This window comes from Homo sapiens, chromosome 1, assembly GCF_000001405.40.
Source record: "Homo sapiens chromosome 1, GRCh38.p14 Primary Assembly".
NCBI lineage: Eukaryota > Metazoa > Chordata > Mammalia > Primates > Hominidae > Homo > Homo sapiens.
The window spans coordinates 24,066,111-24,089,793 of record NC_000001.11 but is presented as its reverse complement, the minus strand read 5'-3'; the positions used below and the strand labels follow the sequence as shown (position 1 = coordinate 24,089,793).

General features: G+C 50.3%; 1 protein-coding gene and 1 long non-coding RNA gene across 2 annotated transcripts in view, besides 2 other annotated features; one reads left to right on the top strand and one right to left on the bottom strand.

Annotated features, from left to right (window-relative positions):
• Positions 1 to 23,683, top strand: part of MYOM3 (myomesin 3) — a 56,095-nt gene that overhangs the window by 22,342 nt on the left and 10,070 nt on the right. The window contains exons 14-28 of the mRNA NM_152372.4: positions 129 to 256; positions 2,967 to 3,150; positions 5,155 to 5,326; positions 7,080 to 7,201; positions 7,606 to 7,793; positions 8,338 to 8,464; positions 9,600 to 9,778; positions 13,521 to 13,635; positions 14,319 to 14,475; positions 15,525 to 15,634; positions 17,781 to 17,825; positions 18,541 to 18,677; positions 21,427 to 21,571; positions 21,765 to 21,824; positions 22,706 to 22,773. Of these exons, the coding sequence (NP_689585.3) occupies positions 129 to 256; positions 2,967 to 3,150; positions 5,155 to 5,326; positions 7,080 to 7,201; positions 7,606 to 7,793; positions 8,338 to 8,464; positions 9,600 to 9,778; positions 13,521 to 13,635; positions 14,319 to 14,475; positions 15,525 to 15,634; positions 17,781 to 17,825; positions 18,541 to 18,677; positions 21,427 to 21,571; positions 21,765 to 21,824; positions 22,706 to 22,773 (1,937 nt within the window). The remainder of the gene's footprint in view (positions 1 to 128; positions 257 to 2,966; positions 3,151 to 5,154; positions 5,327 to 7,079; positions 7,202 to 7,605; positions 7,794 to 8,337; positions 8,465 to 9,599; positions 9,779 to 13,520; positions 13,636 to 14,318; positions 14,476 to 15,524; positions 15,635 to 17,780; positions 17,826 to 18,540; positions 18,678 to 21,426; positions 21,572 to 21,764; positions 21,825 to 22,705; positions 22,774 to 23,683) is intronic.
• Positions 6,439 to 23,032, bottom strand: MYOM3-AS1 (MYOM3 antisense RNA 1). The gene is made up of 3 exons (XR_001737930.2): positions 22,952 to 23,032; positions 7,944 to 8,040; positions 6,439 to 6,519 (listed from the first exon to the last, which is right to left on the bottom strand). It is a non-coding gene; the product is annotated as an MYOM3 antisense RNA 1 (long non-coding RNA).
• Positions 7,512 to 8,013: an enhancer, noted in NCBI's record as "H3K4me1 hESC enhancer chr1:24408271-24408772 (GRCh37/hg19 assembly coordinates)". NCBI's record gives its function as "activates a minimal SCP1, AML or CMV promoter by ChIP-STARR-seq in primed H9 embryonic stem cells {active_cell/tissue: H9 hESC(primed)}" and the evidence as "EXISTENCE:reporter gene assay evidence [ECO:0000049][PMID:30033119]".
• Positions 11,537 to 12,037: an enhancer, noted in NCBI's record as "H3K4me1 hESC enhancer chr1:24404247-24404747 (GRCh37/hg19 assembly coordinates)". NCBI's record gives its function as "activates a minimal SCP1, AML or CMV promoter by ChIP-STARR-seq in primed H9 embryonic stem cells {active_cell/tissue: H9 hESC(primed)}" and the evidence as "EXISTENCE:reporter gene assay evidence [ECO:0000049][PMID:30033119]".

Sequence of the window (23,683 nt, the reverse complement as noted above, 5' to 3'; positions counted from 1 at the left end):
GGAGCCAACTACTGCCCCTCTCTGGGGGATGGGTAGGGGTGTAGTTCCCTCTTCCATGGAATGAGGCACTGAGATTAGGGGGTCTCTGAGGGTCCAACCATCTCGGTCCCGGGTGACTCTGATTTCAGATACTGTGACCATCCCCTCACCGCCAACCAATGTCCATGCCAGCGAGATCCGAGAGGCCTATGTGGTTCTGGCCTGGGAGGAGCCCAGCCCCCGGGACAGAGCACCACTGACGTACTCCCTGGAGAAGGTAGGGAACCCCGAGGCCCCAGCCCCAGGCCAGCCTGAGAAACAGATGTGCTGTGGGACCCTGGGCAGTGTCCCCTGGGGAGGCCGTCAGAGAATGAAAGAGAATCCCCTGGCCAGAAGGGCCCAGGCATGGCCCTACACAGAGGCAAGGGGATGGATTGAATAGCCTTTTGCAGCTACCTCTAGCCCTGGAAGCCAGTCACTGCTGGTCGTTCCTGAGGCTGTTCGTGGAAATACACAAAATACAAGACACAGACAACAATGACAATACGATCCACCACTTCCTGGGTACCTCCCTGCCCCCAAGCCAGATGGCATCAGACCACACATTGGGGCCAAGCACTTCTTGGTGGGACTATGTTGGGAGGGAAACAAGGCTGGTACCCTCCAGCCAGGGACAGGCACCAGCAGCACTTGCAGAGCCTATGGTGTGATTAGCACTAGGAGGTGGCTCTCACTGGGGAGTGGGGGCAGGGGAGACCCCGGCGGGGATGAGGCAGGTCTTGTGGAGTGAACTTCACAGTGGAGGGGGGGCAGTATGGCAGAGTAGAAGACAGCATGGTGTCAAAATCTATTCAAATCCTTCCTTGTGCTGTGTGATCCTGAGTGAGTGTCCTAAACTCTCTGAGCCTCAGTTTCCTCCAGCATAGAATAGAGAACCTGCCCTGTGAAGATGAAATAAAACACAGCCCACAGCCAAAGCCAGCAACCCCTGGGATCTGTCAGTGCTTCCCAAGGAGGTGTTCTTGACTATCTCCCTGAAGTCAGAGACTAAGTTTATCTTCTCATTACTTTCTGTGCCCAGCACAATGCCTGGCACAAACTAGGTGGACAGAAAATGTTTAGGGAATAAATGAATTTAAAATTTCCAGGGAGGAATCTCTGGCTCTGATTATCCAAACAGGCCTCTCTTTTCACACTCATGGGTAATCCTTTTTCTCCGACATAGGAAAGCTGTAGATAATTGAGGATTTGTTTCACAAGGTGGTAGTGTATCATGGTGAAGATGTTGGCGTCAGACTGCTTGGGTTCAAATTCTATCTCTGCTACTTACCAGCTGCGTGACCTTGGGCAAGTTACTTAGTTTCTCTGTGCCTCTGTTTCTTCTTCCATAAAATGATAATAATCATACACAGCTTGTAGGGTTAATGTGAGGATCAAATTAATTAGCGCACATAAAGACTTAGAATGGAGCCTGGCACACAGTAGGAGCTCAGCAGTGTTCATGGTTTCTTATGGCAATTTCTTGTCCTACCTGGTCTAGGCCACTGACAGCCAGATGGGCTTGTGGGGGGAAAACCACAGAGCGTGGAATCAGTGGGTCCCCTTGTGCTTCTAGGTCTTAACTCTCTTGCCCAGACTCAGCAGAAAGGGTCTCTGGGTACCTCACTCATCTGTCTCACCCTGGGCTCTCCACCCTCCATCTGCCCAGAGACTCGGGGTTTCTGGCTGCCTTCTGGGTCCCTGATGCTGTGGAGAGTAAACAGGTTCGCAGCCAACCACACCTGAGTGAAGTTTAATACTATATCCACCAGTTATTAGATGCAGGACTTTTGGCCAAGTTACCGAAACTCTCTGAACCTGACTTTCCTCATCGGCAGAGAAATTAACACCTTCCTGCAGGGTTATTGTGAGAATTCATTCATTTGTTCATTCATTTGTCCCAGAAACATAGATGGAGCACCTGCTATGTGCCAGTCCTGTTCTTGGCCCTAGGGACACGGCAGTCAGGGGAGGGGGTGCCAATGATAAATGGAGTAAATCAGTAGAATATTAAGCACAGTAGTGAGTGGTAGGCGCTAAGGAGAAAGACATTGAGCAGGGAGGGGAACTTGAAGTGTGGGGAGAGGAGCTGCTGACATTTTTAGATGGAGTGGCTGGGATGGCCTCCCCACTGCCCAGGAAGGTGGATTTTTATTAAAGGCCTACAGGAAGCCAAGAGATTTCTCGGAGAAGAACATTCCAGGCTGAGGGACCAGCAAGTGCAAAGGCCCAGAGGTGGGACTTGGACCCTCAGGAAACAGCAGAGAGGCACAGAGACTAAGGGCAGAGGGAACGGTGGCCAGACAGGCCGAGGGGTCAGGCGATGGGGAAGCTTTTGCTCTGAGGGAGATGCGGGACGTGGGAGGGTTCTGGGCAGACAGGGACCTGGTCTGACACGTGCTATAAAAGGATCCCCCTGATGGCCATTTGAGACAAGACGGAAGGGGGTTATAGGTAGAAATGGAGGGGAGACCAGTCAAGAGGCCATTGAGATCGTTCAGGTGCGGGGTGCTGGCAGCCTGCATCAAGGTTATGGTGGGGAGCATGAGGACAATAAGGCATGGCTGGTTTCTGGGTAAATTTTGAAGGGTGAGCCAACTGGGTTCATTCATGGAGCACATTTAGGGCATGAGACAAAGAGAGGAAGGGCCAAGGGTGGCTCCAGGGGTTTCACCCGAGGGACTGGAAGGATGGGGGCCACCAGTGCAATGCAGGTGTGGGAAGCTCTGGAGCCGCGTTGTGGACAGGCTGGACGTGAGGTCTCGGTAGGAATCCGGGTGGAGAGGTGAGGAGGCAGATGGGGCAGAGCCCCATGCTCAGGGGCAGCCTGGGCTGAGTATAGAGGATCATGAGAGCACACGGGCTGGGGACAGAGATCATGGGAGGTGACCAGCACAGAGCCGGTCTGGGCGACCAGTTAGCCAATGTGAGTCCCTCTGTTTCTTCAGTCAGTCATAGGTAGTGGCACCTGGGAGGCCATCAGCTCGGAAAGCCCTGTGAGATCCCCGAGATTCGCCGTTCTGGACCTGGAGAAAAAGAAGTCGTATGTCTTCAGAGTGCGAGCAATGAACCAGTATGGCCTGAGCGATCCCTCGGAGCCCAGCGAACCCATCGCCTTGCGGGGCCCGCCAGGTACCCTCCTGATGCCGGGGGTCGGGGAGGAGGCAGGCCAGGCCAGGCTCAGGACCTGAAGCTGCAGGGACAAAGCCCTGCCCACTTCCCTGTCCCCGCTCCCTTCTACCCATCATGAAGCTGAAAAGCAATTTGATCTCAGGCCTGGGGAGTTTTAAGACATCAGAAATCACATTTCTCTGGGCAGAAGGCTCATGGAGGGAGAGAGCCTTCTGCCTTTTTCCAGATCAGCAATGCATGGGTTAGAGTGCACAGCTGGGCCCTGCACAGCAGCTGTGCAAGCAACTGGTCCCTCCGTTCCACAGGTCTCTGGCCTGCCCCTAGATCCTGCAGCTCACTCCCAAGCAGCCCCCTGCTCCTTGTCTGGTGGGGGTTGAGCTGTCCCACCTGAGCCCTGGCTTACCAGGCAGGACACCACTCACCTGCAGCATAACGGGGGACCTGGGAGAGTCATTTCCAAGCTGCACACCTTGCTGTCCTCAACTGGCAAACCCATTGTTCTAAAGGGCCCCATCACTGCTCCCACCTCTGGCTCCTTCCTGAGTCTCCCAACTGCAACTGCATCCTGACCCCAGCTTCCCAGGGCTCCCACCTCTGAGGCCTCTGGATTCTGAGGTTCTTTACCCTCTCATCAGATTCCCCGTAGCTGCCATCACAATCAGCCCTTTAAGGAACCTTGCTACAGTACCACCTATGCAAGAAAAGCCTGGTTTGCTGAAGGTCCCATTTGGGGAAGATTTCAAAGTTCTAGATTTGTTCTGCTTCAATAATTTAGAGGGGAAAAAATACACACGCGCACACACACACACACATACACACACGGCACATATGAACAAGTTGGTGAGCAAGTGGTGCTTTTCTTTACTTCTGGTTAACATTTGGATTTGATTTGGGGCCTGGCCAGTGAGCAATTAGTCATCAGATGTGGGCAGTCTCTGGACCATAAACCACACTTAAATTGTACCAGGCAAGGCTCTGGTATAATTCAGAAAGGAAGGGAGGGCAGGGCTAGAGGTGAAGCCTTCAAACAGGTGAGGGATGAAGACCTGGGATAGGCAGGACCCTTAGGAATAAGAAGAGAGGAGAAAAAGTGGAGCAGGTCAAGGAACAGAAGCTTGGATGAGTCCAACGTTTGGGGGCCAAAAGAAAATAGAGAACAACCAAAGGATGTGTAAGGAGTTTAGAAATAAAAAGAGAACTAGGAAGATCATGCACCTGCCATCCATCAGTCCATCCATGCATCTGCCCATCAGTCCATCTATCCATCTATTCATCCATCTATCCATCCATCTATCCATTTATTCATCCATGTATCCACCTGTCCATCCATCCATCCATCCATCCATCCATCCATCCATCCATCTATCCATCCATCCATGCATCCATTTATTCATCCATGAATCCACCTGTCCATCCATCCATCCATTCATCCATCCATCTATCCATCCATCCATCCATCCATTTATTCATCCATGTATCCACCTGTCCATGCATCCATCTGTCCATCCATCCATCCATCCATCCATCCATCCATTCATCCAACCAACCATCCATCCATCCATTCATTCAACCAACCATCCATCCATCCATTTAACAAGTTACAGCAGCCCCTATCTCAAAAAGCTTAGTTTCAGGGAGCCATGAAAATCAGTAGAGAAATTTCAAGGAAAGAAAACTGAGATTAAAGATAAGGACTGAGGAAACCTATCAGATTTGGTGACTTTTGAGTGAGAGAGAGTGTGTGTGTGTAAGGATGAATGAGTGAGTATGCTTTTGTGCTTTAGTGAGGAAGCAGAGATGCTCAGAGGTAAGGGGAGAGAGGACTTTTAGGATACACTTCTGGGCCTAGGGAAGAGGTCCCAAAGCCCCCAGCAGGTCAGGAATTCATGCACCTTGATTGCTGTGGGAGCTCCTTCTGGCCTCTCCCCATGCTCCTCCCCTTCCCCAGCCTGTCAGACCCATGTAACTCAGCCTTCTCATTCAGCCCATGTTTCTATTTTTTAGCTACCCTCCCTCCTCCAGCTCAAGTTCAAGCTTTCAGAGACACACAGACCTCTGTCTCCCTGACATGGGATCCTGTGAAAGACCCAGAGCTCCTGGGTTATTACATCTACTCCCGGAAGGTGGGGACATCTGAGTGGCAAACAGTTAACAACAAACCCATCCAAGGCACCAGGTACGTCTGCCCACCCGTATCAGTCTGTTCTCACACTGCTATAAAGACATACCTGAGACTGGGTAATTTCTTTTATAAAGAAAAGAGGTTTAATCAGCTCACAGTTCTGCGACCTATACAGGCTTCTTTTTCTGGGGAGGCCTCAGGAAACTTATGATTATGGCGGAAGGCGAGGGGGAAGGAAGCATGTCTTACATGGCGGGAGCAGGAGAGGGAGAAAGAGCAAAGCAGGAAGTGCTACACACTTCCAAACAAGCAGATCTCATGAGAACTTGCTCCCTATCTTGACAACAGCAAAGCGGACATCCGCCCCCATGATCCAATCTCCTCCCACGAGGTCCCTCCCCCAACACTGGGGATTACAATTCAACATGAGATTTGAGTGGGAGTACAGAGCCAAACCAGATCACCCCTCTTCCTGCACCAGGCATCCTTGAAAGGGGGCCATAATGATAATGAAGCCCAGCATTTCACAATATTTACCCTGCGCCAGGTACTGTTCTGGCATTTTTCATATGTGAGGTCATCTAGTTCTACCTGCAAGCCTAAATGTGTAGGACTATTATTTTTATTATTTTACAGATGAAGAAACTGAGGCATGGAGAGGTTACATAACTTGCCAAAGCCCCTTGTAGCTTAGTAAATGGCAGGACTGGGACTTGAACCCAGATGGTCTTTTTCAACAAACTTTGTTGAGAATGTGCTATTTGCAGGACTCCATGGATAGAGATGACCATGCCTTGGTCTCATCCCTCCAGGAGCTTAAACCCAGAGAGAGGTGGGGAGGGCAGAGCAGTGGAGAGCTTTGGAGCCAGGGAGGCCTGAGTTCAGGCTCCATACCACCCCTCACCCTTTCTGTATCAGTCAGGGTTCTCTAGAGGGACAGACTAATAGGATAGATGTATATAGGAAAGGGAGTTTATTAAGGACTATTGACTCACACAATCACAAAGTAAAGTCGTACAACCGGCTGTTTGCAAGCTGAGGAGCGAGGAAGCCAGTCCGAGTCCCAAAACCTCAAAAGTAGGGAAGCCAACAGTGCAGCCTTCAGTTTGTGGCCGAAGGCCTGAGAGCTCCTGGCAAACCACTGGTGTAAGTCCCAGTCCAAAAGCTAAAGAACTTGGAGTCCAATTTTCAAGGTCAGGAAGCATCCAACATGGAAGAAAGATGAAGGCCTGGCTGAGAAGAGCTCCCTGCAAAACAAGATTTGCTCTAGGAGAACGTTGATAGGTGAAGAGAGAGAAAGAGGTCCACAATTGGGTCTTATCAAGAAGGGACAGGATGAGAAGGACATTTTTCTCTAAGCTAGAGCATCCTTGCGTGTCTCTGGATGACAATTCTCTTTGAGGGCTCTGAAAGGACTCGGTGTTTTTGCATCCCAGCATTAGTGCAGGTATTAACAGCCACATGTTCTTTTTCAAGGACAAAGCCCAAAGTCTTGAAGATGTACCATGTGGCGCTGGGTTTGGGGTTGGCTGCCTTTGCTTTAAATTAGAACCTTTCCTAGCGTATTTGCGTTTTAAGGGTGGATCTGGAAAAGCAAACATCCTTTAAAACTCTTAGGTCTACCCCCTCCACGGTGTCATCTCAGGCATTGCCATGGGATCAAGGGCAATATTTTTAGGAAGAATTGACCTGAACCTTCAAATTCTACCACGCTGGTGACCACTTATTCCACAAAGTTGTTCTAGCAAGTTTGGGAATGTCTCCAGGCTGTTTGTACATCCATGAAAGCTGCACATTTCTCTCCCAGGTTTACAGTTCCCGGGCTGAGGACGGGGAAGGAGTACGAGTTTTGTGTCAGGTCAGTCAGCGAGGCTGGGGTAGGCGAGAGCTCAGCCGCCACCGAGCCCATCAGGGTCAAGCAGGCTCTGGGTGAGTCCAAGGGCAGGTCCAGCCTGCAAACCTCCCTGGGCTGGGCAGGGAGCTGGGGCTCATAGATCACATCTTGGAGGGCCCAGTCCTGGTGGCCAGTGGCACATACGCCCTCTGAGGGAAACTGGAGCTGGCCCTGGCTGCCCTTTCCTTTGGGAAGGAAGTAACCATGGCTTGAGGCCATGGGATGGGGCCTGAGCAGCTCTGGGGGGTGGGGAAGCCCTCAGACCCAGAAACCTGAGGCTCCGATGCCCTCCTGAGGCACAGATACTACTGGCTCAGGGAAAAACCCCTGGAGTAGGGCAGGCACCAACTAGAGGAGGCTCGTCAGCTCCCTCAGGCCCCACTGTCCAATCCAGCCACCCCTAGGGAGCAGCTGTCCTCACCTCCTTACCTCCCTGTAGCTACCCCGTCTGCCCCATATGGCTTTGCCCTCCTGAACTGCGGGAAGAATGAAATGGTCATTGGGTGGAAACCCCCCAAGCGTCGTGGAGGTGGCAAGATCCTGGGCTACTTCCTGGACCAGCATGACTCGGAAGAGCTGGACTGGCATGCGGTCAATCAGCAGCCCATCCCCACCCGGGTCTGCAAGGTAGGGCTGGAAGGTGGCCCCAGCCTGTGTCATGACTTGTTTAGCAGCGACCAGAGGGCACTGCTTGAGTCTTGGAGTCTGACAGAGGCTGACAGAAGTCTCAAGTTCCCCTGCCTCAGCCATCGAGATCATTTTCCAGTGCAGACCCACCTTGAACAGAACTGTTTAGAGCCACCAAGCTTGAGCTGGGATTGCTTGAGCTCAGGAGTTTGGGAGTTTGAGACCAGTCTGCAACATGTTCAAAACCCTGTCTTGACAAAAAATACAAAAATTAGCTGAGTGTGGTGGCACGCGCCTGTAGTCCTGGCTACTCGAGAGGCTAACACAGGAGGACTGCATGAGCCCAGAAGGTTGAGGCTGCAGTGAGCCATGTTCATGCCACTGCACTCCAGCCTGGGTGACAAAGTGAGACCATGTCTCAAAAAATAAAAATAAAAGCAAAGCCCCCACAGACCACCTGCTCTGAGTCCCTCCCGCACCACTGCTTCTGTTCCCCATCCCTCCTCCAGCCTCAGCCTCATAGTTTGTGTTTCTGCTCTTAAAGGTCAGTGACCTTCATGAAGGCCACTTCTATGAGTTCCGTGCCCGGGCTGCCAACTGGGCAGGTGTTGGCGAGCTGTCGGCACCCAGCAGCCTGTTTGAGTGCAAAGAGTGGACAATGCCCCAGCCAGGTGAGAGGCCTGCAGGCCTGAAGTCCAGTGCCTGCCCTTCCCTCCTTCCCAAACCTACCCAATGAGATGAAGGTTGCCGCTCTCCTCTATGCATTCAGGCTTGCACTGTTTGTCCTGCACCCCAGGCCCCTGGCCCTTGCACAAACCCACTCTATAATTCCTGACACAAATGGAGTCCTAAGCCTGTCTTAAAGGACCCCTGACCTGGGCCATCAACTGGCCCTGTATCCCCAGCACAAACTATTTCCCAACTCGAGAGCCTGCCTGCTTCTAGCCATAGACCAATCTCCAGCCCCAAAGGTGCACTGCTAGGGTGAGTAACTAGTCCTGGTTTGCCTGAGACTTTCAGTTTCCTACTGAAAATCCCAAGTCCCAGGAACCCTCTTAGTCTTGGACAAATGGACAGTTGGCCACCCTACCCACTGCTCCCATAACCCAGTAAGTCTTCTCACAAATGAGCCCCTCACCTCCCACTGAGGAAGGAGAATCACACCCTTCCATCATTTTGTTCAGCTCAGTTCTGTTTTCTACACAAAACCTCTACCTCAGTGGCAGATAACTAAAACATATGATGCTTTCGACAACCACAATTATAAACAACGAGTATTTATTGGGCCGTTACTAGGTACCAAACACTTTTCATAAATTATCTCACTAATGCTCACAAAAGCACTATATTATAAGAGCTATTATTATCCCCATTTTACAGACGAGGGGACAGGAACAAAGAGGCTAAGTATCTCATCCAGAGTCCCCATATCTGGAAGAGGTGGAGTTTTGACATGAACCCCAGAGGTCTGACTCTAGAAGTTACACTAGAGTCACTAAACACTGAAGCACTTTAGAAGGATTAATGCTGTCTGGGATGGGGATGGGGAAGGTCAGGGAAGCTACCGGGAGGAGGGGAGGCTGAGCGCATTTTGAAAAGTTAACCGTGGTTTCAGGCCCAGAGCCAGGCTTTGTCATGAAGCCAAGGTTGGCCCGGGCTTGGCGACACCCAGAACAGGCCCTTCCTGGCTTGACTGTGACTGAGGGATTGACAAGCTTGTTGACTGACTGCTGGGCTTGCTGCTTACCTGGCTGGCTGCCTGGCTGCCCAACTCACACATCTCTTCCCATCTCTCACTTGTCACAGGCCCCCCGTACGATGTACGGGCATCCGAGGTGCGGGCCACATCCCTGGTGCTGCAGTGGGAACCCCCACTGTATATGGGGGCTGGGCCTGTCACAGGCTATCACGTCAGTTTCCAGGAGGAAGGCTCTGAGCAGTGGAAGCCGGTCACCCCAGGCCCCATCTCTGGCACCCACCTGAGGGTAAGTTCTTATGCCTTCATCTTCTGACTGGCCCTGAGCCTTCCCTGCCACTAGAGCATCAGAGCTGGAATGACCTCCAGACATCACTGCTCTCACTTAATGGAAGCAGAGGACCAGAGAGGAAGAGCGATTTACCTAGGGTCACACAGCAAGTTGGAGGTAGGTCTGGCTGGCTGGTGCCCATATCCTGCTCCATGCTAGGCAGGTGCCTCCCTAAAGACTCACTTGGTATCAGCCAGGTATATCAGCATTTGCACATGTATATCCCTTGACCCAGCAATTCTGCTTCTGAGATTGAATTATAGACAGGTAATTAGGCAAACGTGCAAAGATCTAAGGACAAGGATGCTTCTTGTAGCCTTGTTTGTAACGGCCCAAGCTGGAAACAACTTAAACGTCCATTAGTAAGGGTGTTGCTTAAGTTAATCACAGTGTACCTTAAAAGTAGAATCCTGTGCCAGGCAGTATAAAGAATAAGGCAGTTAAAGGAACAAGACAGTATAAAGAATGGAGATGGGCAGGGCATGGTGGCTCATTCCTTTAATCTCAGCACTCTGAGGAGGCCGAGGTGGGAGGATTGCTCAAGCCCAGGAGTTCCAGACCAGCCTGGGAAACATGGAGAAACTTCATCTCTAGAAAAAAAAAAAAATAGCCAGGTGTGGTGGTATATACCTGTAGTCCCAGCTACTCGGGAGGCTGAAGTGGGAGGATCACCTGAGCCCACAGAGGTCCAGGCTGCAGGGAGCCGTGATCGTACCACTGCACTCCAGCCTGGGGGACAGAGCAAGACCCTGTCTCAAAAAAAAGAATGAGGTGGACCTACGTGCATGTATTGACACAAAAAGATATCCATCCTATATGGCTAAGAAAAACAAAGCAGAATACAGAGTAGGATATTTATATGTGAATAGCATATAATATATGTAACATGTTAGATATAATATAGATAAATAAACATGTATGCAGATACATGTTCCTTAATTTAAATGAGAAACAAACTCTAGAGTCTTTGGCTAAATGAGAGGTCTAGCAGAATCACTAGTTTTGTTCTGGAGTGATGGTTGTTTTAACTTCCACACATGCAGGAGGTAAGAAAATCACAAATAGTCTTCTCCTGGCCTAACCAAGACAACTCACAAATACTTAGACATATCAGGAAACAAAGAAGTCACTTGAAGCATTATTAACAGACACAAATTACTACCTTAGACAACCAATCAGAGTTAGACTTCCAGGTGACTGAAGGCCACTTTCACAGGCCATAGCGTCTACACCTAAGGCCAATGTGTCTCAGGGCCTCCTTTATTTGAGGAATATTTGTAAGAATGTTATGTGGATTAGTTTCCATTTTCTGCAGCCCTAGGAAAAGGGGAAGTATTTCTCCAGCCCATTTTCCTGGGTGCTTTTCCCCAGCAGGCAGGAGGATATGCAGTTTTCAAACCCATTCATCAACATTTCATTAGGGAGCACCCAGAGGAAAGAAGGCAGGCTCAAGAAGCCCGTAACAATGGCAAAGAATAAGATACTAACAAATAGGATACGGTGCATGTCCTGTTTCTACATGGATTATGTCCTTGTAAAAGTCTAAAAAGATTTTGGCTGGGCACGGCGGGTCTCATGCCTGTAATCCCAGCACTCTAGGAGGCCGAGGCAGGCGGATCTCCTGAGGTCAGGAGTTCGAGACCAGCCTGGCCAACATAGTGAAACCTCATTTCTACAAAAAAAATACAAAAATTAGCCATGTGTGGTGGCGCGTGCCTGTAATCTCAGCTACACAGAAGGCTGAGGCAGGAGAATCACCTGAACCTGGGAGGCGGAGGTTGCAGTGAGCCGAGATCGCACCACTGCACTCCCTGCCACAGAGCAAGATTCCACCTCAAAAAAAAAAAAAATCTCTAAAAATACTGTTACTAAATGGTCCATTCTGGTCATCTCTGGGGGAGAGCCTGCCAGGGGCGCTTTAGTCCTTCATTTCGTGTTGTGCTTTATCACTTAAAATGTTTCCCAACAAGTGTGTATCTCTTTTATAATCGGAAAAAATTAAAATACCTTCATTTTACCAAAAAATGAAATTAAGGCCACCTCAGACAGAATCAGGGAAGACAAGCCTCAGCCAGGGGACTCTGCTGAGACCTTGAGGTCTTCCCCTATATGAGTGGCTCGCCCCCTCCGCATGTAGGTTGGCCCAGGCCAGGGCGGGACAGCCTAGGTGATCTGGCACCGGCTTCTGCATGTGGACAGTTGGCCGCCATTCGGTCAGTCAGCCACCGGCTAAACATTTCTTCACACCTGCTTTAATGCCAGGCCTGGACCAATTCCTAGGCATGGGAAGCTAAATAAGTCACAGTTGTTGGGTAGCAGGCAATAACAATACTGCGTGATAAATGCTGCAATTGAGGGGGTCTCAGGAATTCTGGACGCTCAAAGGAGAAGGTGAGAGGTGCTTCCTGGAATCCATGCATCTGCCGAAACTGGGTGATGAAGCACAGGCTACACTGGAGTGAGCCAGGAGGGAGGCGGGACGGCATTCCAGGCAGCGCACTCAGCAAGGGCAAAGGCAGGGAGGTGTGAAATGGCGTGATGGATGTGGGGATACTGAGAGAGTGTGGAGTGAAGGGGACAGATGGAGGGGCAAGAGGACAACAGGCTAAGGCCAGGTTAGGAAGATTATAGGTACTCGACCTCGAAATTTGAACTTGACCCTGAAGGCCACTAAAAGATGTACACATCATCAGATTGGCAGAGGGAAAGACAGACTGGGGGAGAAGAGTCCCAGGGCAGAAACGCCCTTTAGGAAACTGTTGGACTGCCCCAGGTGAGGAGAAACAAAGCCTCAATCACGACCGTGGACGGGACCTGGAGGAAAGTGGTCACATTTAAGAAACACTAGGGAGGCCAGGTGCAGTGGCTGACACCTGTAATCACAGCACTTTCGGCGGCCAAGGGGGGGTGGATCACCTGAGGTCAGGAGTTCGAGATTAGCCTGGCCAACATGGTGAAACCCCACCTCTACTAAAAATACAAAACTCAGCCGGGCATGGTGGTGGGTGCCTGTAGTACCAGCTACTTGGGAGGCTGAGGCAGGAGAATCACTTGAACCGGAGAAGCAGAGGTTGCAGTGGGCAGAGATTGCGCCACTGCACTCCAGCCTGGGTGACAAGAGTGAAACTCTGTCTCAAAAAAAGAAAAAAGAAACATTAGGGGCCGGGCGCGGTGGCTCACGCCTGTAATCCCAGCACTTTGGGAGGCCGAGGCGGGCGGATCACGAGGTCAGGAGATCGAGACCATCCCGGCTAAAAACGGTGAAACCCCGTCTCTACTAAAAATACAAAAAATTAGCCGGGCGTAGTGGCGGGCGCCTGTAGTCCCAGCTACTTGGGAGGCTGAGGCAGGAGAATGGCGTGAACCCGGGAGGTGGAGCTTGCAATGAGCCGAGATCCCGCCACTGCACTCCAGCCTGGGCGACAGAGCGAGACTCCGTCTCAAAAAAAAAAAAAAAAAAAAAAAAGAAACATTAGGGAAATAAAACAGATGGAACCTGGTGATTGGTGGAGAGGACCCAAGAAAAGAATGGCAAAGACAATCCCCAGGTGTTGAATGGCCATCTTTGTCACATGGAAAGATGAGGGACACAAGAAGGGAGAGGGTTTTCTTATTGAGAGTGGCTCCCTGCTCCCTGGGGCCCAGGTTTCAGGAAGAGTCACTGCTGTCCTCAGTGCTGGCTCTTGCCCTCTGCCCCCAGGTTTCCGACTTGCAGCCAGGAAAGAGTTACGTGTTCCAGGTACAGGCCATGAATTCAGCTGGTCTGGGGCAACCGTCCATGCCCACTGATCCCGTGCTCCTGGAGGACAAGCCAGGTAGGGGTGGCCGGAGAGGCCAGAGCTCTGCCACTGGGCTACGCCACTGGGGACGGGTGGAGTTCAAGGGAAGTTGGGAGAAGCCTGATGCTGTGCTAGGCCCTCACACTTCTCTGGCCCTCCAGCAAGCCCCTGAGGGAGGGGTCATCATCCCACACTGGCACTGATTTTATTATAGCTCAAAGAAGATCAACCAGGTCACACGCTAGTATATGACAGAATCACTCACCTCTCCCAACTACAAAGCACATTCTCTTTCCATTCTTTTAATTATTCATTCATTTAATAAATATTTGGTGATGCGCACATTGCACTGCGAATACAGGAGTGAATGAGAGAGTAAGATCCCTGCTCTAATGTAGGGGTGGGGGGAGCAGAAGACAGTAAACAAGTAAACTATTGCATGAGGAAAGCGATTTAAGATAGAGATACGTGCTTTATTATAAAAGAAAGAAAACAGGGTGATAGGATGCTTAGCTAGGGCAGTCAAGGAGGGCCTCTCTGAAGAGGTGACATTTGAGGTGGGAAGGAGCCGGATCCTGCAAGGCCTTGGCAGCCACAGCAAGGAGTCAAGTTTATTATTAAGTGCAACAGGCAGGCCCTGGAGGTTTAAGCAGGGGAGGGGTGTGACCTGGTTTATTATGCATAAACATCCGCTGCCCTCTGTTGGATCTCGCCCTCAGGTGCCCATGAGATCGAGGTTGGTGTGGATGAAGAGGGCTTTATCTATTTGGCTTTTGAAGCCCCTGAAGCCCCCGACTCCTCAGAGTTTCAGTGGTCCAAAGACTACAAGGGCCCACTGGACCCCCAGAGGGTCAAGATCGAGGATAAAGTTAACAAGTAAGTGAGGCGAGAGGAGAAACAACTGCTCAACGGGACCCAAATACTGTCAGAGGAGCTGGCAGGGGCTCCTGGCTGAGACCACAGGGCAGGACCCATCCATGATGGTTGAAAGGCGCTGCTCAGTCTTTCACTGAGGACGCTGACTGCCACCTTAGTGAGAAGAGTGGAGAGTGCATTTAAGCGGCTGCAATGGTGCTATTTTTTCTCTTCTTTTCTTTTCTTTTCTTTTCTTTTCTTTTTTTGAGACAGGGTCTTGCTCTATTGCCCCGGCTGTGCAATGGCATGATCTCGGCTCACTGCAGCCTTGACCTCCCAAGAGCAAGTGATCCTCCCGCCTCAGCCTCCTGAGTAGCTTGGCACATGTCACCATGCCCAGCTAATTTTTGTATTTTTTGTAGAGATGGGGTCTCGCTATGTTGTCTAGGCTTGTCTCTAACTCCTGAGCTCAACCAATCCTCCCCACTCAGCCTCCCAAAGGGCTGGGATTACAGGCGTGAGCCACTGCGCTCAGCCAATGGCATTGTTCTTTTGGAGATTCCTTTTCTGTAGGGAATTGTATGTGCCTCTAACTAAGTACCTTCAAGGAGACCTTCAAAGAGGACTTGGATTCTAGCCTGGCTGCCAGGGACTTGCTCTTGCAAGTTCTCTGTACTCAGGTTCTTCATCTATAGTATGCAGAGTTGGACCAGATGACCACAAGGGCCCCTGTCACATGCCCCCATGTCTCATCCTCCCCCAGCGGCTCACGGCCTCAGCTCTGTCCAGAAGGCATAAAGCCTATGCCTCAAGCCCTGGAGGAAGTCAGGGTGGTGTGGCCAGTGCAGACCCAGTGCCAGAGAGCCCAGATAATGGCACCATTGAAGGTGTCAGGCCAGAGGGGACCCTAAGGAGGTAGCAGGAGGCAGCTGCCTGTGCTTCCTGACTTGGCCAGGGTCTGCTTGGGGTACAGGCTCACCAGAAGCAACCTGGACTCCCTGGCTCCCAGGCCTCTAGTGCACAGGACCAAGGAGCTCCTCCCAGAGCCTCTGCTCTCCTCTCTCTGCCAGGTCCAAGGTCATCCTGAAAGAACCCGGCCTCGAGGATTTGGGCACCTACTCAGTCATAGTCACTGATGCCGATGAAGACATCTCCGCAAGCCACACGCTAACCGAGGAAGGTAATGCACCTACCCCGCTCCCTGCCACCTCCCCAGAGAGAGAGTCCCAAACACAAATGCCCACACAGGTCAGCAAAAAGCAACCAAAATGAGTAAAGTGGCAATTTCCACAGAGAAGTAGGCCCTCACCCACCCATTCTTTCCATCAATAGATATCTGTTGAGCACCTGCCACAGGCCAGGTAGGCCCTGGATATTACATCAGTGAACTCAACAGACATAAATCCCTACCCAGTGAAATTTACATTTTTCTGGTCTCTCTTTTATTTTCCCACCTTTTTTTTTTTTTTTTTTTTTTTAGACGGAGTCTCGCTCTGTCGCCCAGGCTGGAATGCAGTGGCACGATCTCGGCTCACTGCAACCTCCGCCTCCCGGGTTCAAGCAATTCTCCTGCCTGAGCCTCCCAAGTAGCTGGATCTACAGGTGCCTGCCACCATGCTGGCTAATTTTTTGTATTTTTAGTAGAGATGGGGTTTCACCGTATTAGCCAGGATGGTCTCAATCTCCTGACCTCGTGATCCGCCCACCTCAGCCTCCCAAAGTGTTGGGATTACAGGCGTGAGCCACTGTGCCCAGCCTGTTTTCCCACTTTTAGTAAGAGCAAAGGTACTAGAATTATTTTTGTTTCCTTCTGTAGCCCCAAAAAACAACAGTGCAAGTGTGATGATAAATTGCAAGCAGCAGTTGGTCTGAGAAATGGGGTGACAATAGGGAGCGCTGGGGACTGCGGGTAACCAGAGAGTGAATACCACGTCTAAAGGACCATCCATATTTGATAAATTAAACTGAAACAAAGCCTGTGCTCACAACAGATGAGACACTCTGCTACCTCCGTAGCAACCAGGACAGCCCTTGCCCATTGTCTACCCTGCTCATGGCACATGGGGCCTTTTGATTTTGTTAAGAAACAGAAGCCAGAGAGACCCAGGTTCCAATTCCAGTTCCATAATTTGCTGGCTGATTTTGGACAAGTCATGCCACCTTCCTGGGCCTCAGTTTCCTCACCCGTAAAGAGGGATTATAATCCCTGGCTGCCCCCACCTGAAACAATATTGTTATGCAGATACAATCAGATGATTCTATGCAAACTAAAGCCATCCACGAAAATGATGGGTTTTTTTGGTTTTGTTTGCCGTGTGCTTGCCATGAATCTAGACTCATAGTGTTAAGGATTCTGGGGCTTACTAGGGAAAATGAGGCATGGTCTCTGCCCCTGCCAATTCATCCACACAGTCCATATTGACTGAGCACCTACTGTGTACAAAACATTCACGTAGATTCAGAGCTCGCCTTAGCAGGAAAGGCAACACGAAGAAGCAGTCAGCAGGCCAGGCACAGTGGCTCACGCCTATAATCACAGCACTTTGGGAGGCTGAGGCGGGCGGATCACCTGAAGTCAGGAGTTCAAGACCAGCCTGGCCAACATGGTGAAACCCTGTCTCTACTAAAAATACAAAAATTAGCTGGGCGTGGTGGCACATTCTTGTAATCCCAGCTACTTGGGAGGCTGAGGCAGGAGAATTGCTTGAACCCTGGAGGCGGAGGTTGCAGTGAGCCAAGATTGCACCATTGCACTCCAGCCTGGGCAACAAGAGTGAAACTCTGTCTCAAAAAAAAGAAAAAACGAACAAGAAGAAGAAACGGTCAGCAAATGAGACAGCATTCTAGAACAGTCTGAGACTTCTGGGCTGCAGTGCTCGGTGTGTCGTCCAGACCCAGGGACACTAAGATAGCATGTGACAGGGGTGAGCAATAAGGCCCTGGCACCAGTGGTCCTAGAGTGACCAGAGGTAGACAGTAATGCTCAGCCCACAGCACTGCAGAGGACTAATGAAGTATATGCAGAACCAGGCACATGGTAGGTGCTCCTCTAGGGAGGCGAGACTTGATCTAGGCCTTGAAGGACGGGGAGAGGACGCAATCTCAGGGTGGCCAGCAGCAGCCCCGGCATCACCCTCAGTGCCCCAGGGCAAAGGCTCACAGTACTCATCATGGCCCCTATGGAGCCAAGGAACCCCAAGGTCGGGGGAGGTGTCTCTTGGAATTTTGACCCAGCACAGGATCCTAGGACGGCTCCTGTGGGCCCCCCACCCCCGACCAGGATATTTCATTCTCTCTGGTTTCTTCCTCACTTCCCCCTATCCCAGAGCTGGAGAAGCTGAAGAAGCTGAGTCATGAGATCAGAAACCCAGGTAAGCAAGCAGTCCAAGCTACCAGCCTTGTGCAGTTCCCACTGGGCCCATTGGCATGTTCTGAGCAGAGCAGAGTCAGGCCAAGGACCAGGAAACAACCCCAGAGGGACAGAGGGTGGGAGAATCACAGAGCTAGAAGGTCAGGGACCACTCGGGAAGCTCACGGAAGGAAAAGAGCAGCAGGAAAGGGGATGCGAGGAAGGGAAATGTGGGTGTTTTCCTCTTTTATAATTACTGTTATTGGCTCTTTAGTCATTAGGATTTGGGATCGTCTAAACCTCTGCTTCTCTCCATTGGCTAGGGACAGTGTGTACAGTCCCTAGAGCAGGGGAGGTCACAAACTTGGCTACACAACAGAACCATGATGACACCTTTCCTAATCCCAATACCTAGGCCATGCCCCAGACAAATCAGAATCTCTGAGGGTGGAGCCCAGATGCTAGGGTTTTTGAAAGTCGTCTGGGATCCAATGCCCTGCCAGGTTGAGAACTGCAGCCCCAGAGCTCTTAGAAGAGGAAACGCTTCGCTGAGATTAATTAAATCTAGAGTGGGCATTCGGAAAACCCTCCTCTGAGCCCCACCCAGTACAGTCTCCTTCAGGTTCTCTAAAGGTTTTGCATGTCAGATGCCAAGGGTGTGCTCAAGGTGGGGCTGGAAGGGAGCGGGAAAGGGAGAAGGGGTCCAACCCACCCCCTTCCCGTCCTGCGCCTCCCAGTGATCAAACTGATCTCCGGCTGGAACATTGACATCCTGGAGCGAGGGGAGGTGCGGCTTTGGCTGGAAGTAGAAAAGTTATCTCCAGCCGCTGAGCTACATCTAATCTTCAACAACAAGGAGATCTTCAGCTCGCCGGTAATTGGGTGCTCACAATCCCTGAAGTGAGGCTCCCCTGCCGGGGAGGTGGCCTCGCGGGATGGTGATTCCGCATGGGCTGGTACTTCCCCCTAGTGGCCATTTCAGAAATGACGGTGTGCTTTTGCTGTTGCAGTGATGAGGACGGGATGGGAACATTTGGCTCTTAGTACCAGTGCTGGTGTTGGGGGTGGGGTTGGCAGGGACACTACATGCTGGCCAGTGCAAGGGACATTCCCACAAACAAAGAATTCCCACACCCCCCACAACTTCTGATTACCCCACCAGACATTCTTAAGATGAAAAACCTGCGTTCATGCCTATAATTATCCAAGGCTAGACTCTAACTCTGTTTTAGGTATAAATACAAACTATTTTTGTACAATTTTTTTCTTTTTTTATCTTTTTAATTAGAGATGGGGACTCACTATGTTGACCAGGTTGGTCTTGAACTCCTGGCCTTAAGTACTCCTTCTGCCTCAGTCTCCCAAACAATTTTATTTTTTGTTTTCTGTTTTTGTTTGTTTTTGAGACAGAACCTCACTTTGTCACCATGGCTAAAGTGCAGTGGCATGATCTCAGCTCATTGCAGCCTCAACCTCCCAGACTCAAGCGATCCTCCCACCTCAGCCTCCCGAGTAGTTGGGACCACAGTCACACACCACCACGCCCAGCTAATTTTTATATTTTTTTTTTTTGTAGAGACAGGGTTTTGCCTTGTTGCCCAGGCTGCAAACTCCTGAACTCAGGCAATCCTCCTGCCTCAGCCTCCCAAAGTGTGCAATGTTACTATACACTGAATGGAGAATTTTTATTCTGCTGGTTACTTTACCTATGCTCATTCATTTTCCTGCTTTTGTACAGAATAGCTTCTGATTTTTTTGCTTTTCTTCTCTTAAAGTCAAACCGATTCATTATAAAGCAGGGCAGCATAATTAAGGTTATATCCAAGCACCTATATATTGAAATATTTTTATTTTAAACGACTTATTTCTTCTTTATATTATGGTTAGAGTATATTATTTTGTAAATCATATCTGTAGATAGGTTGTATTAGATTGAACCACATGATTTGTCAATATTCAACTGTTTACTGCTGACATGGCGATGTCAACCTCATGAGAGATTCAAATTCATGACTCAATCTCATATTATTTGTGAATTTCATCTCCAGATGGCAAAGCAGCCATTAGAAAATACGTGTTGTGGCTGGGCGGGGTGCCCATGCCTGAAATCCCAGCACATTGGGAGGCCGAGGCAGGCGAATCACCTGAGGTCAGGAGTTCAAGACCAGCCTGGCCAACATGATGAAACCCCATCTCTACTAAAAATACAAAAACTTAGCCAGGCATGGTGGTGCGCACCTGTACTCTCAGCTACTCAGGAGGCTGAGGCACGAGAATCGCTTGAACCCGGGAGACAGAGGTTGCAGTGAGCCAAAATCGTGCCACTGTACTCCAGCCTGGGCAATAAAGTGAGACTCTGTCTCAAAAAAAAAAAAGAAAGAAAGAAAGAAAGAAAAGAAAAAAGGAAGAAAATATGTGTTATATATATATCAAAGGTCCAATGACAAAAAAAAGAAGAAAGAAAACATGTATTATAGAAAGAGGGCACTAGTTCTGACAGGAGTCTCATGTCCACCTGCTGTGGGTTATATGACCTTGGCAGGTCTCTTCACCTGTCTGTGCCTGTGTTTCTCCATCTGTGCAATGGGGCTGGTTGTCCCAGCATCAAAAGATGCAAATCAGAAAACTGATTTGAAAGTTCTGCATAAAGCTTGTGCAATGACCTTACCACATGGTAAAGGAAGTGTTACAAAGTCTGGACTCATTAGTATTCAGTGGTGGGACAATCAGTTGTCCCTATAGAAAAATAAAACAAAATTAGATTACTCCCCCAAATCATACATACAAATAAAGCCAGAGGAAGAAAGAACCTAGATGAGGAAAATGAAATTTTAAAAACTGTTAGAATATGGTAAAATGTAAATGAGTGTTAATTCTGGGTAGCAAGTACACGAGTATTTTTTTTTCCATTATCCTTTACACACGCCAATGGGGTTTTTCCTATTTTAAAAGAAGTAGGAAATAAGCTGCTGGGCACAATGGCTCACGACTGTAATCCCAGCACTTTGGGAGGCCGAGGCAGGCAGATCACTTGAGGCCAGGAGTTCGAGACCAGCCTGGCCAACATGGTGAAACCCAGTCTCTACTAAAAATACAAAAATAAGCTGGGTGTGGTGGCGCATGCTTGTAATCCCAGCTACTCAGGAGACTGAGGCAGGAGAATTGCTTGAACATGGGAGGCAGAAGCTGCAGTGAGCCGAGATTGCGCCACTGCACTCCAGCCTGGGTGATGGAGCGAGACTCTGCGATGGAGTGAGACACTGTCTCAAGAAAAAAACAAAAAACAAAAAAAGAAAGAAAAAGAAAAGAAAATAGGCAAAATCATGGCACAGCAGGGGTTCGGGACTTATTATTAAATTGTAACTGATCGCTCCACTGCACCCCAGCCTAGGCAAGAGTGAGACTCTGTCTCAAAAAAACAACAACAAAAAATTGTAACTTATTCAAGCACCCCGGGGGACTAGGTGTGGGGGGAGCAGCAGAGGGTTACCCAACGGCCAGCCCCAGTCTCTGAAGGCTGACAGCTCTGTGCTTACCACCCCCAAGCCCACTACACTCTGATGTGTACCCCACAACAAAGTTCCCAGAACAGGGAAAAGGACTCTGGAGTTTGTCCTTTTCAGAACCGCAAAATCAATTTTGACCGAGAGAAGGGCCTGGTGGAAGTGATCATCCAGAACTTGTCTGAGGAGGACAAAGGGTCGTACACCGCTCAACTCCAAGATGGAAAAGCCAAAAACCAGATTACCTTGACACTGGTGGATGACGGTCAGCCATGCCCAGCCTCGCCCCGCCCAGCCCTGCCCCGCCCTGCCCCGCACACCTGGCCTGCCCTGCAGCCCTGAGTCCTCGGCTCTGCAGCCTGCTGAGCACAGCCCCCTCGACTTCTGTCCACCCCATGTCCCCTCTCCAGACCCACACTCCTCTCGGCTCATGCCAGTTCCTCCCTCTGTGTTCACAGATTTTGACAAGCTTCTGAGGAAGGCAGATGCTAAGAGAAGGGACTGGAAGAGAAAACAGGGTAAGAGCTGCTGGGGTGAAGTTCAAAATCCCTGGCCACTGGTTCGTGCTAGAGATGCTGGACTGCGGATTAATGGGAACCCCAGCCCTGCTGGGTCCCCAAGGGAGGTCCACTGTCATTCAGTCCAGTTCTGTCCCAGTGCCAGATCAAAATAGCTCTTGCCTGACCTGAGGGTGAGAGCTGAGCCCTCTTAAATTTTGCACCCTGAAGCCAGGCACAGTGCCCCACACCTGTAATCCTAGCACTTTGGGAGGCCAAGGTGGTCAGATCACTTGAGGCCAGGAGTTCAAGACCAGCCTGGCCAACATGGTGAAACCCTATCTCTATGAAAAATACAAAAATTAGCCGAGCATGGTGGCACACGCCTGTAATTCCAGCTACTCAGGAGGCTGAGCCACAAGAATCCTTGAAACCAGGAGGCGGAGCTTGCAGTGAGCCGAGATTGCGCCACTGCACTCTAGCCTAGGCAACAGAGCGAGACTCTGTCTCAAAAATAAAGAAAGAAAGAAAGAAGGAAGGAAACAAAGGAAGGAAGGAAGGAAGGAAGGAAGGAAGGAAGGAAGGAAGGAAGGAAGGAAGGAAAAAGAAAGAAAGAAGGAAAGAAAGAAAGAAAGAAAGAAAGAAAGAAAGAAAGAAAGAAAGAAGGAAAGAAAGAAAGAAAGAAGGAAAGAAAGAAAGAAAGAAAGGAAGGAAGAAAGAAAGAAAGAAATTTGCGCTCTGAGCACCGCCCCTGCCTCACCCCAGTCCCAGCCCTGGCAGAGGCAGCATCTGAGAAGTCCATAGCCATTAGCTGTCCCTCCCCCCAGCACTGCCTGGACACAGGTGGCACCCTGGCTGAGCCTGGCTCTCTGACAGTGGGCACATTTGTTTTGCACGCACAGGTCCCTATTTTGAGCGGCCGTTGCAGTGGAAGGTCACGGAGGACTGCCAAGTGCAGCTGACGTGCAAGGCAAGTCCTGCCCTGCCCTGCCCCCAGGCCCAGTGCAGGGGGACCTGTGGCTTGTCCCCAAGCCCAGTTGCTGTCCCTGCCCACCCGGCCCCCTAAATTCCATACTCTGTGCTTGGCTGATCGCACACACAGAAAGTACCCCCGAGGAGACCACACGTAACCCAAAAAGCAAACCCACCTTCCCAGCGCCCATGGGGTAGGATTCGTGTGAGGTGGACCAGCCTTGAACGAGATCCTAGTGGCTCCAGAAGGGGTTCTGAGGGGTCAGGGGGTCTAGGAGCCCACGAGGGTTTATATGTTGAGGGGTATCCCTGTGTTTATGATTACCCTGTGCTCAGAGACTCACAGTATTATTTCATCCGCCTCACAATCATCTGTGACACAGGCATTACTATCCTCACTTCATAGATGAGAAAACAAATGGAGAAATAGCTCAAGGCCACACGGTAAGAGGGAGAGCCCAGGTTTGAACAAGTCTATCTGATTCCAAAGCCTAAGGTCCTTCTTAGCACTCTTCAGCCTGTTTAGATAACTGGGGAAGGGGAGGGTGGGTGCTCTCCCAGAAGCATATTCATTCAGTAAACTCAGAGCATCTATTTTGTGCCACTCTGCACGGTACTGAACGTACAAAGATGATGAAGTGGTCTCTGTGGGCCTTGGGAGCCCATGTTCAAGGCAGGACCATTGGAAAACAGCATCCCTCATGCTTGACCCGGATGGGGCAGGACATTGATGAATCGTGATGGAGGGGGTGACTATGGGATGCTTCAAAAAAAAGGCTTCCTGGAGGAGATGACATTTAACTGAAGCACATGGACATTTCCAAGAAAAATAGAGTAAGGCAGGGATCAAGAGGCAGAGGGAAAACCATTAGCAAGAATTCAGAGTCCAGAGGCCAGCAGAGGAGACA